A 15,276-nucleotide genomic window follows, 5' to 3' on the forward strand; every position below is an offset into this window, starting at 1 on the left:
TTGAAACCTACTGCCCCTACAAAAGAGCAGAGAAGTGTATGTAGGTTGCTCTGAAGGAGTACTTGTGGTTTATGAGGGTTGAGATAGCTATTTAAACTAGCTGCAGGCAGAGAATTCATTATGAAACATATATCCAAAAACCAAACTGCTGATGACAGCAGCCACAGATTTCAAAAAGGAACAATGGGGTCTGAGTACAACTATCAGGGAAAGGTAGAAGAGAACAGGTATCACTGAAAGCTGAGAGAGACAACACTAAACATATGACCATTACCTCAGCTGCTTATATTCCACTGCATGGGAAATGCTTTAAGGAGTTGTACTTAGAACTGTGGCTTGGCACTGTTAAGATACAAATAATCAGTATTGCCTTGTGGTGAAGGGCACTCACTGGCTTTAGAGTTGGACAACAGGTGTCCAGGTTGGGCCTCTACTAGCTGTGTGGCCTTAGGCAAGTTCTGTAACCTGAGTAACAATTTCCTAACCTGTTGAATGAGATAACTGCATTTAACCTTAATGAGTTTTGCTAACAATCATATCAGATACTGTAAGAGTATCCAGCCCACAGAAAGCACTCAGTAAACATTAGTTTTATTCACTATTTGTTTATATAATTTTCATTATTCTTCTTCCAGATTTATTTCTTAGCCTTATCCAAAGACTTAAACCCATCCATGGAACCAGTGACCACTAGCTAGCCTACAATTTGGGTTAGATCTTAGTCTTAAGTGGTTTCCATACTAAATTTTACAAACAAAATGGACAAATAAATAGCCTAGGCATTATAGAACAATTATCAATACTATATAAACATCAACATATTTGTTTCCAAAATTCAAAGAGGAGGAACAATCAACAATAAAAAACATATGGCCTAGTACTATAAATTGTAAAGACAATGATTCCTTGAGGAGACCAGAAATTATATATACAAAGAAGGGAGTTTTTACAGAATGACAAGTGGTTAAAGTCTTCTCAGTTTGTCTCCCTCAACCTCAAAACCACCTCAGTAGAAAATAATGGGAAGCCACAGAGTTGTGTCTTTTCCTGCTAAGATCACCCCTCTTTCAGCCTAGCACTTCTTCAGTGGGATATAAGGAAAAGAAGGGAAGACGAGCTCCACCTGCACAGAGTGAGGCAGCCATGCTCACTGCCTCCCTACAACCAACGACCTCAGAGACCAGTCTCAATTAAAGGCTATTATTAGAACAAACTATTGGCTAGGTAAGGTGGCCCACGCCTGTAATCCCAGCACTTTGGGAGGCCAAGGCAGGCGGATCACTTGGGGTCAGGAGTTCCAGACCAGCCTGGCCAACACGACAAAATGCTGTCTCTACTGAAAATAGACAATTTAGCCGGGCTTGGTGGTGAGTGCCTGTAACCCCAGCTTCTCGGGAGGTTAAGGCAGGAGAACTGCTTGAACCCGGGAGACGGAGGTTGCAGTGAGCCAAGATTACACCACTGCACTCCAGCCTGGGCGACAGAATGAGACTCTGTCTCAAACAAAACAAAAACAAAAACAAAAAAACAAATTATCTATCAGTTTCTGAGACATGTGGCTACTTAAATTTAAATCTTAATTAGAATTAAATATAATTTAAAATTGGGCAAGGAGCGGTGGCTCACGCCTATAATCCCAGCGCTTCGGGAGGCCGAGGTGGGTGGATCACCTGAGGTCAGGAGTTCGTGACCAGCCTGACCAATATGGTGAAACCCCATCTCTAGTAAAAATACAAAATTAGCTGGGTATGGTGGCGCATGCCTATAACCTCAGCTACTTCGGAGGCTGAGGCAGGAGAATTGCTTGAACCTGGAAGGCAGAGGCAGTAGTAAGCCGAGATCATGTCATTGCACTCCAGTCTGGGCAACAACAGCAAAACTCTGTCTCAAAAAATAATAAAAAAAATTGAATTCCTCAGTCCCATGAGCCACATTTCAAATGCTCAATAGCCATATGTGGCTACCATATTTGACAGCACAGCTATAGAGCACTTCTATCATTGCACAAGTTCCCATTGGATAGTGCTGTTCTTTCATGAGATTAACCAGGACCAATCCTATTATGCCTCAATTCTGTCTACCTTGAGCACCAAAAGAAATCCAAGCCTCCTCTGGCATACCTCTTCAACTGGATTCTCATCCCCATTTGCCACCATTCTTGGTGATTTCAATATCTACATATTAGACTGAACCATATGAAGTTGCAGTTTTTGTAACTTCAACCCAAGATATGATCCATCCAGTACTCCAGCCTCTCAGTTCCCTGACCTCTTGTTTATTAATTCCTATGGCTCCTACCATCTCAGCCTTTCTCCAGTGGGGTTCCAAGAGAGGAGTAAGCCTAATGCCCTAAGGCACCCACCAAATGTTATAAGTCAATTTCTGTCCCCTGCATCTAAAGTGGTACCAGCTATGTATCATAACTGGGAGAAGTAAGCAAACAATGAATTCATTTTCTGACTTCCATGGTTCTAATGAAGAACTCTAGCTGAGCCTATCATTAATGATGAGCTCAATTTCAGGTGTCCATTCTCTGTTCACCATCACCTATCTTTCCCAACTCACCCTCTCTAATGTTCTTACACCAATCACCCTTCAGCCCCACTAGGACATCTAATCCTATACTATCATCTTTTCACGATTACCCTGTCATATCTTCGCATTCCTTCTTGCCTTAGTTTACATAGTTATCATATTAACACTCCCCTTGAATATTCCCTCAACTTCTTTCTACTGTACTTACTTGCGCAATCCGACTTTGGTTAAATACAGCCCTCCTACTTATTAGGTGTCCCTATCTGCTGAATGTGACAGGAACAAAAACACATACAACGTGCTGACTGGCCTCACTTTTTATTTAAGATCAAAATCTTAAGTGGTCCCTCACTACTGCTAGCAATCTTGACATATTTTCCTAGTCGGTTCATTCTTCCATCCTCCCAGGTACTATTTCACATCTTCTCTGCTATTCTCAAAACTCTAATATCCATTCCGATTCCTGTATCACTATTCTTTTTTATTTAAATATAACTTCACTGAGATATATTCATGTACCATATAATCCACCCATTTAAAGTCTATGATTCAATGGCAAGTACCTGGGAGGCTGAGGTGGGAGGATTGCTTGAGGTGGAGAGGCAGAGGCTGCAGCGAGCCAAGGTTCCACTACTGCACTCCAGCCTGGGCAACAGAAAGAGAGTTCTTTATATATTCTGGATACTAAACCCTTAACATACATATGATTTGCAAATATTTTCTCCTATTCTGTAGGTTGTCTTTTCACTTTCTTGATAGTGTCCTTTGATGCACAGAAGTTTTAAATTTTGATAAAGTCCAATTTATCTTTTTCTTTTGTTGTTTGTGCTTGTGGTATTATATCTAGGAATCCACTGCCAAATCTAAGGTTGTGAAGTTTTATCCCTAAGATAGTTCCCCTGACTCGCTGAGACAAGGTGTCAACTGTGTTGCCCAGGTGGGACTCTAAGGATCCTCCTGCCTCAGCCTCCCAAGTAGATGGGACTTACCAGTGTGTACCACTGTAGCTGCCTATAAAAGCTTTATGACTTACATTTAGGTCTTTGATCTATTTTCATACGTAGTATAAACAAGTGGTCCAACTTCATGGTTTTGCAAGTGGATATTCAGTTGTCCCAGCACTACATATTGAGAAGACTGCCTTGTTTTCCCCCACTGAATTGTCTTGACATTCTTCTCAAAAATCAATTGCCCACAAATGTATGGTTTTACTTCTGGACCCTCAATTCTATTCCACTGAACTGTAATGCCTACCTCTATGTCTTAATTAGTAAGTTGTAAAATTGGAAAGTATGAACTCTTAACTTCGTTCTTTTTCAAGACTGTTCTATTCTGTGCCCCTTGTATTTTGGTATGAATTTTGGGACCAACTTGTCAATTTACAAAAAAAAGTTAGCTGGGATTTTTGTGGGGTTTTCTTGTTTGTTTTTTTGAGAAGGAGTTTCGCTCTTGTTGCCCAGGCTGGAGTGCAATGGTGCGATCTTGGCACACCACAACCTCCGCCTCCTGGGTTCAAGTGATTCTCCTGCCTCAGCCTCCTGAGTAGCTGGGATTACAGGCATGCACCACCATGCCTGGCTAATTTTTTTTTTTGTATTTTTAGTAGAGACGGAGTTTCTCCACATTGGTAAGGCTAGTCTCGAACTCCTGACCTCAGGTGATCCGCCCACCTCAGCCTCCCAAAGTGCTGGGATTACAGGCGTGAGCCACCATGCCCAGCCTAGCTGGGATTTTGAAAAGGATTTGAAATCTGTAGATCAACTTGGTGAATACTGCCATCTTCACAACATTAAGTATTCTAAACCATGAACAGGAAATACCATTCCATTTATTTAGGTCTTATTTAATTTCTTTCAACAATGTTTTATAATTCTCAGAGAAGTTTTTTATTTCTTTTGTCAAACATATTCCTAAGTATTTTATTATTTTTGATAGTATATTAAATGTAACTGTTTTCTTAAATCCACTTTCAGATTGTTCACTGCTAGTGTACAAAAATACAGTTCATTTTCTATATTGACCTTGTATCCTGCAAACTTGCTAAACTCGTTTATTAGTTCTAAAGGCTTGTTTTATTTCAGTGGATTCTCTAGGATTTTCTATATAAAAGATGTCATCTGATAGAGTAGTTTACTTCTTCGTTTCCAACCTGAATGGCTTTTATTTCATCTCTTTCCTAACTGTCCTGGCTAGAACCTCCTTTACCACGTTGAATGGAAGTGGCAAGAATGAACATCCTTGTCTTGTTTCTGATTTTGGGGAAAGCTTTCAGTCTTTCACCATTAAGTATGATATTAGCTGTGAGTTTTTCATAGACGCCCTCTATCAGGCTGAGGAAGTTCCTGTCTATTCCTAGTTTGCTGAGTATTTTATTGTCATGAAGGAGTATTGAATTCTCTCAAATGCTTTTTCTGTGTCCATTTAGATATCGTGTGGTTTTTGTCCTTTGTTCTATGATACAGTATATTAACTGATTTTCTAATGTTAAACCAACCTTTCAGACTTTTTTGATGAGAAAAAAGTAGTACTTGAGAGAACTTCTACACTCTTCCACCACCAAAAGTATTAGTCTATCTGCATCTGTACCCATATCCTCTGCCTTCCCTCCTATTGCACAGAATGAATTGCCCACACGGCTATCTAAGGCTCACTTTTCCATTTGATCCTGAATCTGAACGCTTCTTGCTTAATTAAGGATTCCCCTCCTGCCATCATCTCTCCTGAAACATCAATTTTTCCCTCTTTTTTTAGATCATTCCATCAGCATACAAATATGCAGTAATATTTCCCATAAGGTTATTTCTAGACTTGTATATCCTGCTGTCTGCTCAACATCTTCATTTGGTTATTCACTGGGCATCTTAAAATTATGTACAAAACCAAATTCTTAATTTCTTCCTCCAAACCTGTTCCTGCCCCAGTGTTCCCGCTCTCAAACAACGAAGTCATCATTAACCCAGTTGCTTGGGGCAAAACCTTGATTTCACCTTAGTCTTTCTTGTTCTCTCACACTCCAATAAATCCTGTAGGTTCAACCTTCAAAACATTCCCAAATCTGACAACTTCTTTACCTCACAGCTACCTCTATGGTCAAAGCAAACATCAGATCTTCCCTGGAATAATGCAACAGCCACTCCCCTCCACCCCTGCTTAGTCTCCTCAATTCCATTTTTGCCCCATCCCTCTATAGATTATTTTCCACATTGTAGCCAGAGTTAGATTACATCATTCCCTCGTTCTCAACCCCCCTATGGCTTTTCATCATATTTGGAATGAAGTACAAAAACCTCACCTCACATGATCTGACCACTGTTTATTTCTTCTCTCCTTTCCCCCTGTCGCTCAATCTAATTCAGTCATTGTGTCTTTCCTGCAGCTCTAAGAAACATGCCAAACACACTCTTGCTTTAGGGCCTTTGTATTTATTCCCTGACCTAGAATGACTCTATTCAAATATCACCTCAAGAAGTCTCCCTTGATCTTTCTCTTTAATCGAGCCCCCTTTTTCCTCTGTTCTAGTCACTCTCCATCCCCTCTTCTTGCCTTGTTTTTCTTAAATTGTATTTATTATCTGTTTCCCTCACAAAAAGGTAAGCTTTATAAGAACACTGACTTGTGTTTAGTACTGTACCCTCAGCTTGCAGAACAGTATCTGCGTTATAGTTGCTGCTAAATAAATACCAACTGGGTTGTCAGTAAGGAAGTACAAGCAATAGTTAAACAACACAGTGATCTTCTGAATTACTCAGAGGGGCTTTCTAAGTTGAGTACCCTACAATTGGCTTAGCCAGAAACCTGAGTTAAGATTGCCTTCTCTCATCTTGACCAGTCACAAGGTTTGCTTCTCTCACCAAAAGATTCTCAAGTCCGTCCACTTCTACTAACACTGCTTTATCATCTGTCTCTCTGCTTTTAGTCTCCTCCAAATTATGGTTAATATTTCAGAATACTGTATTTTCTTTCAGTCTTTATTTTGAATCCTTATATAATACTTCGTCTTGTTTTTGAACATTGGGTTAAGTTGTTCATTGTTATAAATAATGCTTTGATAAACCATCTTTGTCTATACAATTTCATCTAAATTCTGATGACGTTTTTAGAGTAGATTTTCAAACTTTAATTCATGGGTCAGAAGATATGAATTACTTTTAAGTTCTACGTATATATTATCAAATTGCTTAAACAAAAATTTCAGCTGTTAAAGATTAAGCTATAAATATTATAGACAAGTACTAGTAAGGAAGTAGATCAGTAAAAGTGCACCTCTTAAGAGAACAGGCTTATCTCTAAGCTTGAAAGAAAATCGCTACATTTTGAGTAGGCAGGGGGCCTCTGTGGCTTTTTTGCAGCAAAGAAGGCAGTCTGGCATTGCAGTACTGTCTTTGGAGTCTAACTGCCTTTGAATCCTATGCCAGAGCAGGTATTTATAGGCTTCAAGCCCCTAAGCCTTTGTTTGCTCATCTGTAAATGGACCCAGCAATGCTTATCTTTTTAGGGTTGTAAAGATTTCTATTTAGGAACTACCAACATAATCACGTAAGATGTTTGAGTTAGAAGCTATGTCTATTAGAATAAGATTATCAAGCCTAGTACCTGAGAGAACAAGAGATTGTCAGAATGGATAAAAGCATGACCCAATGGTATGCTGTCTACAGGAGACACATTTTAAAAATAAAAACACAGATCAGTTAAAAGAATGGAAAAAGATGTATCAGGCAAACAGTAGGAATAAGACTGAAATGACTAGAACCATATCCAGTAGTTCTACCAGATAAAATACACTTCAAGAAATAATTAGCTGGGTGTCGTGGCACATGCTTGTAATCCCAGCTACTTGGAAGGCTGAGGTACAAGAATCCCTTGAACCTGGGAGGCACAGGCTGCAGTGAGCTGAGACAGTGCCACTGCACTCCAGCCTGGGCAACACAGTGAGACTGTATCAAAAGCAAAAAAAAAAAAGAAAGAAAGAAAATAAGGTCGGGCACGGTGGCTCACACCTGTAATCCCTGCACTTTGGGAGGCTGAGGCGGACAGATCACTTGAGGTCAGCAGTTTGAGACCAGCCTGGCCAACTTGGTAAAACTCTGTCTCTACTAAAAATATGAAAATTAGCCGGCCATGGTGGCGGGTGCCTATAATCCCAGCTACTCAGGAGGCTGAGGCAAGAGAATCGCTTGAACCCAGGAGACAGAGGTTGCAGTGAGCCGAGATTGTGCCACTGCACTCCAGCCTGGGCAACAGAGCAAGACTCTGTCTCAAAAAAAAAAAATATATATATATATACACACACACAGACACACACACACACACACACACACACAGACACACACACATTATCAGGGATAAAACTGGAAATTACATCGTATATTTACATGTTGGCTCAATAATTTATATGAAACCGTGAAAGACTAGAATATCTACCACAATCTGGCCGGGCACGGTGGCTCACGCGTGTAATCCCAGCACTTTGGGGGGCCGAGGCAGGTGGATCACCTGAGGTCAGGAAGTCAAGACCAGCCTGGCCAACATGGCGAAACCCCATCTCTACTAAAACTACAAAAATTAGCCAGGCATGGTGGCAGGTGCCTGTAATCCCAGCTACTCAGGAAGCTGAGGCAGGAGAATCGCTTGAACCTGGGAGGCGGAGGTTGCAGTGAGCCGAGATCGTACCACTGCACTCCAGCCTGGGGGACAAGAGTGAGAATTCGTCTCAAAAAAAAAAAAATAATAAAAATAATATCTACCACAATCTTGAAAAAGAACAAATGAGAAATTATGCTACCTGCTACCTGACTTTAAGACTCGCTATGAAGCTACTATAATCAAGACACTTGTACTGGCATAAAGACAAACAGATCAATTAAATAAAAAAGAGAAGCCAGACATAAACTCTCACTTATACAGTAAGTTGATTTTCAAAGGCACCAAAGCAACCCACTGAGAAAAAGAAGTCTTTAATGAACTGAGTTAGAATAACTAGATATCTATATAGAAGAAATAAACCTCATCCCCTAACTCACACCATACACAAAAATCAATTCAAGATGTACCATATACCTAAATAGAAAATAATAACCATAAAGGAAAAAATTGAAAATTAGACCATCTTAAATCTTCTTCACAGCAAGATACCATTAAGAAAATGAATAGGCAGCCGGGCGCGGTGGCTCATATCTGTAATCCCAGCACTTTGGGAGGCTGAGGCGGGTGGATCACAAGGTCAGGAGATCAAGACCATCCTGGCCAACATGGTGAAACCCTGACTCTACTAAAAATACGAAAATTAGCCGGGCACACATCTGTAGTCTCAGCTACTCAGGAGGCTGAGGCAGGAGAATCGCTTGAACCTGAGAGGCAGAGGCTGCAATGAGCTGAGATCGTGCCACTGCACTCCAGCCTGGGCGACAGAGCAAGACTCTGCCTCAAAAAAAAAAAAAAAAAGAAAGCAAAAGAAAATGAATAGGCAAGTACACGCTAGAAAATATTTGTAGAACACACATTTGACAAACAACTGGTATTCAGGACATACAAAGAACTCCTATCTCAATAATAAAAAGCCACATAATCCAATTTTAAAATGGACAAAACATTTGAACACTTTACAGAAGATACAAAATTAGACAACAATCATGTGAAAAAAAGTGCTCAACATCATTAGCCATCAGGGAATGCAATTAGAATCATTACATGACTACCAGAATGGCTAAAATTAAGGGGATAAAACAGTATCAAATGGTAGCAAAGATGTAAAACAAGTAAAATAACTAGAATGCTCATAAACCGCTAGTGGGAATTAAAATGGTATAACTACTTTGGAAAAAGGTTTGGCAGTTTCTTTATAACCTAGCAATTCCATTCCTAGCTATTTATTCAAAAGATGTGAAATCTTATGCTCACTATACAACCTGTACAAGAATGTTCACAGCAGCATTCTTAGTGAAAAATACACCGAGAAGAACTGTATAAAGAAACTGGTATATTCATATGCTAGAACACTACTCAGTAATAAAAAGGAATATAACACGGATCAATCTCAAAAACATTATGCTGAGTGAAAGATTACATAAAAGTATACTGGTATGATTCTACTAATATCAAACTGCAGAATATCATATAAGCAGAATTTTACAGAAATAAAACAGTGGTTGCCTTTAGGGGGAGGGGTGAAGAAGAGATATGAGGGAATCTTCCAGGGTGATATTAATGCTCCGTGTCTTGATAGGTATACGCATATGCCCAAACTCTGCAAATTTACACTTATTTGTGCATTTCACACAAATATTGGAACTTGGTTCATGATTTGCATGCTTAAGTATTTCAGGGAAAATGAACCAATATTCGCAACTTACTTTGCAAAGCATCAAAAACATAACATGGATTAAAGGATGGCTAGAGAGATACATAGATTTGTAATAAAACATAGTAAGATATTAATGGAATCTAAGTAATAAGATTCTTCTAACTTTGTTGTGTATTCAAAATTTTCATAATAAAATAACGGAGGGAAAAAGACTGGGGAAACCCTCTAAATTAAAGATGAATAAAGAGATATGACTAGATGCAACGTATGATGCTTAATTGGATCCTTTACGCCAAAAAAGAGATACAAAGGATACTACTGGAACAACTGAGGAAATGTGAATGTGGATTGTATACTAGATAATAGTATTGGCATTAATGTTAAATTTCTTGAGTATAATAATGGTGTTACAATTTTGTAGGAGAATGATCTTGTTCTTAAGAGATACACACTGATCAAGCTCAGTGGCTCAATTCCAGCACTTGGGGAGGCCAAGAGAGAAGGATCTCTTGAGGTCAAGAGTTTGAGACCAGCTTGGGCAACATAGCAAGACCCCCATCACTACAAAATTAAAATTAAAATTAGCTGGGTGTGGTGGTGAGTGCTTGCAGTCCTAGCTACTAGGGAGGCTGAGGTGGGAGGACTGCTGGAGCCCAGGAGTTCAAGGTTACACTAAGCTATGATCATGCCAGTGCACTTCAGCCTGGGTGACAAAGCAAGACCCTGTCTCAAACAACAACAACAACAACAACAAGAGATGCATACTAATTAAAGTATTTAGAGGTAAAGTGTCATGATTTATGCAACTAACTCTCAAATGGCCAGGGAAAGGTCCATATATGTAAAAAATATACATATGAGAAAGAAAAAGAAGAGAAATAGGAGGGATAAAGGAAGTACACTATTTTTGTATCTCATACTTCTGAAATTTGAAATTTTCAAAATAGAGAGGAAAAAAATAGGCCCTGAAACAAACAGGTCTAAGTCTCAGTTCCCACACTACCAATTACTAGCTTAATGATTTTGAGCAAGTTACTTCTCCCTAAGGATGACAAAGCCTAACTTGTAAGGTTCCTGCAAAGATCAGGTAAAATAAGAGTTACTGCATAAGCGCATACTGACTTGCAGAAAATAGTAGTAATAGCAGTCACTGTTATTATAAAGACCAGTAGTGGTCAGGTATGGTTGGCTCATGCTTATAATCCCAACACTTTGGGAGGCCAAAGCAGGAAAATCACTTGAGCCCAGGAGTTCAAGAACAGCCTGGGCAACATAATAAGACACCATTTCTTTAAAAAAGAAAAAAAAAAAAAAAAAAAGCACCAGTAGTGTGTCACAGACCCATGAATTTCTTTATTTTTTTTGGAGATGGAGTCTCACTCTGTTGCCCAGGCTGGAGTGCAATGAGGCAATCTTAGCTCACTGCAACCTCCACCTCCTGGGTTCAAGCGATTCTCCTGCCTCAGCCTCCCGAGTAGCTGAGATTACAGGTGTGCAGCACCACACCTGGCTATTTTTTGTATTTTTAGTAGAGATGGTGTTTCACCACATTGGCCAGGCTGGCCTTGAACTCCTGACCGCAAGTGATTCACCCACCTCGACCTCCCAAAGTGCTGGGATTACAGGCATGAGCCACCACACCCAGCCAAATTTCAATTAAAAAAAGAGAGAATTCTATTTTCAAATAAAATTTCACATGAAACGCAATATGTAAAATACATAAATGTATGGATGAGGTGGGTGGTCAAGTTGGAGTGTTACCAGTATTCATTCTGCCCTTCCCACACCTTTACAGAACCCTAGTTAACTACAGAGGACATTTTGAAAAACCAGTTCTCAGCCGGGTGTGGCCTGTTTCAAAAAAAAACAAAACAAAACAAAACAAAAAACAAAAAAAACAGTTCTCTAGAACAGGGATTGGCAAACCATGGGATGGCCAGCCAGCTTTTTTTTTTTTTTTTTGAGACAGAGTTTCACTCTTGTTGCCCAGGCTGGAGTGAAATGGTGCAATCTCAGCTCACTGCAACCTCTGACTCCTGGGTTCACGTGATTCTCCTGCCTCAGCCTCCCGAGTAGCTGGGATTACAGGCAGGCGCCACCATGCCTGGCTGATTTTTAGTAGAGATAGGGTTTCACCATGTTGGCCAGGCTGGTCTCGAACTCTTGACCTCAAGTGATCTGTCCACCTCGGCCTCCAAAAGTGCTAGGATTATAGGCTTGAGGTACCACGCTCAGCCTAGCTTTTTTTATAAATAAACTTTTACTGCAACACAGCCGCCTGATTCATTTATAAATTGTCTATGGCTGCTTTAGTGCTTTAACAGCAGAGTTGAGTAGCAGTGGCAAAGACTTGAGTAGTTGCGACAGAGACCAAACGGCCTGCAAAGCCTAAAATATTTACTATCTGTTCCTTTCAGAAAAAGTTTGCTAGACTTTGCTTTTAAGAGTACATTTTCTGAGGGCCTACCTGCACAATACTATATTAGATACTATGGAGGGAATAAAAAGGACTATGACACAATAACTGTTAACAATATTAAGCTTATGTGTAATTCAAGAATGATTCAATCTTTAAAAAGAACTTCTTGGGGTTTGACTCTTCTGTAAATTAAAAGAGCCCGAGACATTAGCAACAAAAGCTTTTTGCAATGTGTAAAACTTGTTTGGATCCTGTTTTCAACAAACCAACTATAAACAAAAAAACAATTATTGGACTCAACGAGAGTTGAACAAACCAGATATTTGGTGGTATTAAAAATTATCGGCTGAGCGCAGTGGCCCACGCCTGTAATCCCAGCACTTTGGGAGGCTGAGGTGGGCGGATCACGAGGTCAGGAGATCAAGACCATCCTGGCTAACATGGTGAAACCCCGTCTCTACTAAAAATACAAAAAATTAGCTGGGCATGGTGGGGGGCACCTGTAGTCCCAGCTACTTGGGAGGCTGAGGCAGGAGAATGGCGTGAACCCAGGAGGCGGAGCTTGCAGTGAGAGGAGATCGCGCCACTGCACTCCAACCTGGGCAACAGAGTGAAACTACGTCTTTTAAAAAAAAAATTATTAATTGGCCGGGCGTGGTGGCTTACACCTGTAATCCCAGCACTTTCGGAGGCCAAGGCGGGTAGATTACGAGGTCAGGAGTTTGAGACCAGCCTGGCCAATATAGTGAAACCCTGTCTCTACTAATAATAGAAAAAAAATTAGCCAGGGGTGGTGGCGCGCACTTGTAGTCCCAGCTACTCGGGAGGCTGAGGCAGGAGAATCACTTGAACCCGGGAGGCAGAGGTTGCAGTGAGCCAAGATCATGCCACTGCATTCCAGCCTGGGTGACAGAGCAAGACTCCATCTCAGAAAGAAAAAAAATTTATCATTAATTGGCTGGGTGCGGTGGCTCATGCCTGTAATCCCAGCACTTTGGGAGGCTGAGGTGGGAGGATCATGAGGTCAGGAGATCGAGACCATCCTGGCTAACACGGTGAAACCCCGTCTCTACTAAAAAAAATACAAAAAAATTAGCCAGGCGTGGTGGCGGGTGCCTGTAGTCCCAGCTACTTGGGAGGCTGAGGCAGGAGTATGGCGTGAACTCGGGAGGCAGAGGTTGCAGTGAGCCGAAATCGTGCCACTGCACTCCAGCCTGGGTGAGAGAGTGACTCCGTCTCAAAAAAAAAAAGTTATCTGAGATATAATCTGAAATAATCCAGGATGGGAGTTATGGATAGAATACATATGAAACAACAGTGGCCACGAGTTGATGAATGACTAGGTAGAATATGGGGGTTCAGAGTACTACTATCCTCTCAATTTTTAAGTTTGAAATTTTTGGTAATTAAAAGTAAAACACACACACACAAAGTCCTTTTGCAAGACAAATACCAAAGATAAACTAGCCACTGTCTTTTGAAGAAAGTGGTATGAAAATCAGGTGACAAAGATAAGGATCTAGGAAAAAACCACAAGAGCCCTCCTTCTAAAGAATCATCAATGGCAGTCAAATCACACTGGATATTGTCATCAGAACCTAAATAAAGATAATAGTAAGTAAGTTTCATATGGAGAAAAGACTGAATTTGTCTGAACTTCACTAGTAAATGTTTACCAAGGTTCTTCTGAAAACGTAATGGATGACAGTGGTGCATAACAGAAACATACAATTCTTTAAAAGGTTTTATAATGTAATATGTACAAAAGAATATATATGTGAACCCATTACCCAACTTAGGAACTAGAATATTGCCAAAACTGATTAGCCAACTATATGCTTCTTCTGGATTCCATCTCTCTGCCTCCACCCCATCCCCCACCCCAGAGGTGGCCTTTATTCTCAAAATTATATTACCTTTATCTTCTTTTTATACAAACACACAGTTTTACCACAAATTATTAAAAAATATATTGACCACCATATTGGATTTAGTATCCTGAAACATACTTTTTCAAAAAAATCTGAACATTCATGGAAGATTCTATAGAGCACAGATTACTAGCTTTTGAGTTAAACTTGGTGTACCCTAGCTCTTGTCACTTTCTAGGTACGTGATCTTGGGGAAATTATTTCCCCATCAAGTTCAGCTTCCTCTTTTATAAGTGAAATAACACCTGTTTCAAAAGACTGTTATGAGGATTAGAACAATATACAAAAAGCACTGTTACTGGTATATAGCAGGTGCTCATAAATGGTAGCTAATGTTGCTTAATGTTAAGCATGGCTTATAAAGATGCGGCAAATTAAATCCTTTTACTTAACAGAAAATATTATCTTGTTATCAAGCATTTCCTTTATATACGGCCGTTAGAAAACTCCTTAGAGATCAGTCTATGCATGGTCAATCTCCACAGCTATCACCAGAAAGAAGTAATGTTCATCTGATCTTTTTTTGACTTTGCACTCACAGGTTTACAGAGGCAACTATGTCACATGGACGCTGTTCACCAGCAAAGAGTCTAATCCATCAAACCATTTATTCTAGGTAATTGAAAATCTGACAAGGTCAATTCTGATGAGATGAGAATTCATGTTTGCACTCAGAGGTAAAAGACTATAGCATTCTGCTTTCCTGAAACCGACTGAGGCTTCCACGGTCTTCTCAAACATTCCCCTGTGTGTCCCAGCTCTACACATGGAAGGCAGAAAGAACACAGTAATGAATGCTAGCTCTGGACCTTGGCTCTGCTGCTTACTGCCTGACAATGCAAGTGCTAAAGTTCTCTAATATTAATTTCATCATCAGTAAAATGGAGATAACAAAAACTTATCCTTATATTAATAGATAATTATAGTCTTGATTGTGGCTCTAAGATAGTTCCAATGGAGATCACTGATCTAGTATTAATTTCTTGAACTTTTATCTTTCTCGAAATGCTCTAGATGCCTGAATTTAAAAGTGTGACTAGATCATGAAGTGAAGAACTTCTCTAAAATGGTTTTTGCTGTTAATATTCCTT

At 40.0% G+C, this 15,276-nt stretch overlaps 1 protein-coding gene across 15 annotated transcripts in view; it reads right to left on the bottom strand.

Moving 5' to 3' along the window:
• Positions 1–15,276, bottom strand: part of UIMC1 (ubiquitin interaction motif containing 1) — a 117,598-nt gene that overhangs the window by 11,067 nt on the left and 91,255 nt on the right. Inside the window, exon 11 of one of the 15 annotated variants that reach the window (NR_146149.1) lies at positions 3,099–3,180. The exons of the other annotated variants lie outside the window; for them this stretch is intronic. The gene's annotated coding sequence lies outside the window, so the exon portion shown is untranslated. The remainder of the gene's footprint in view (positions 1–3,098; positions 3,181–15,276) is intronic. 15 annotated transcript variants of the gene reach the window in all.

Source organism: Homo sapiens, chromosome 5 (assembly GCF_000001405.40).
Source record: "Homo sapiens chromosome 5, GRCh38.p14 Primary Assembly".
In the NCBI taxonomy this organism is placed as follows: domain Eukaryota; kingdom Metazoa; phylum Chordata; class Mammalia; order Primates; family Hominidae; genus Homo; species Homo sapiens.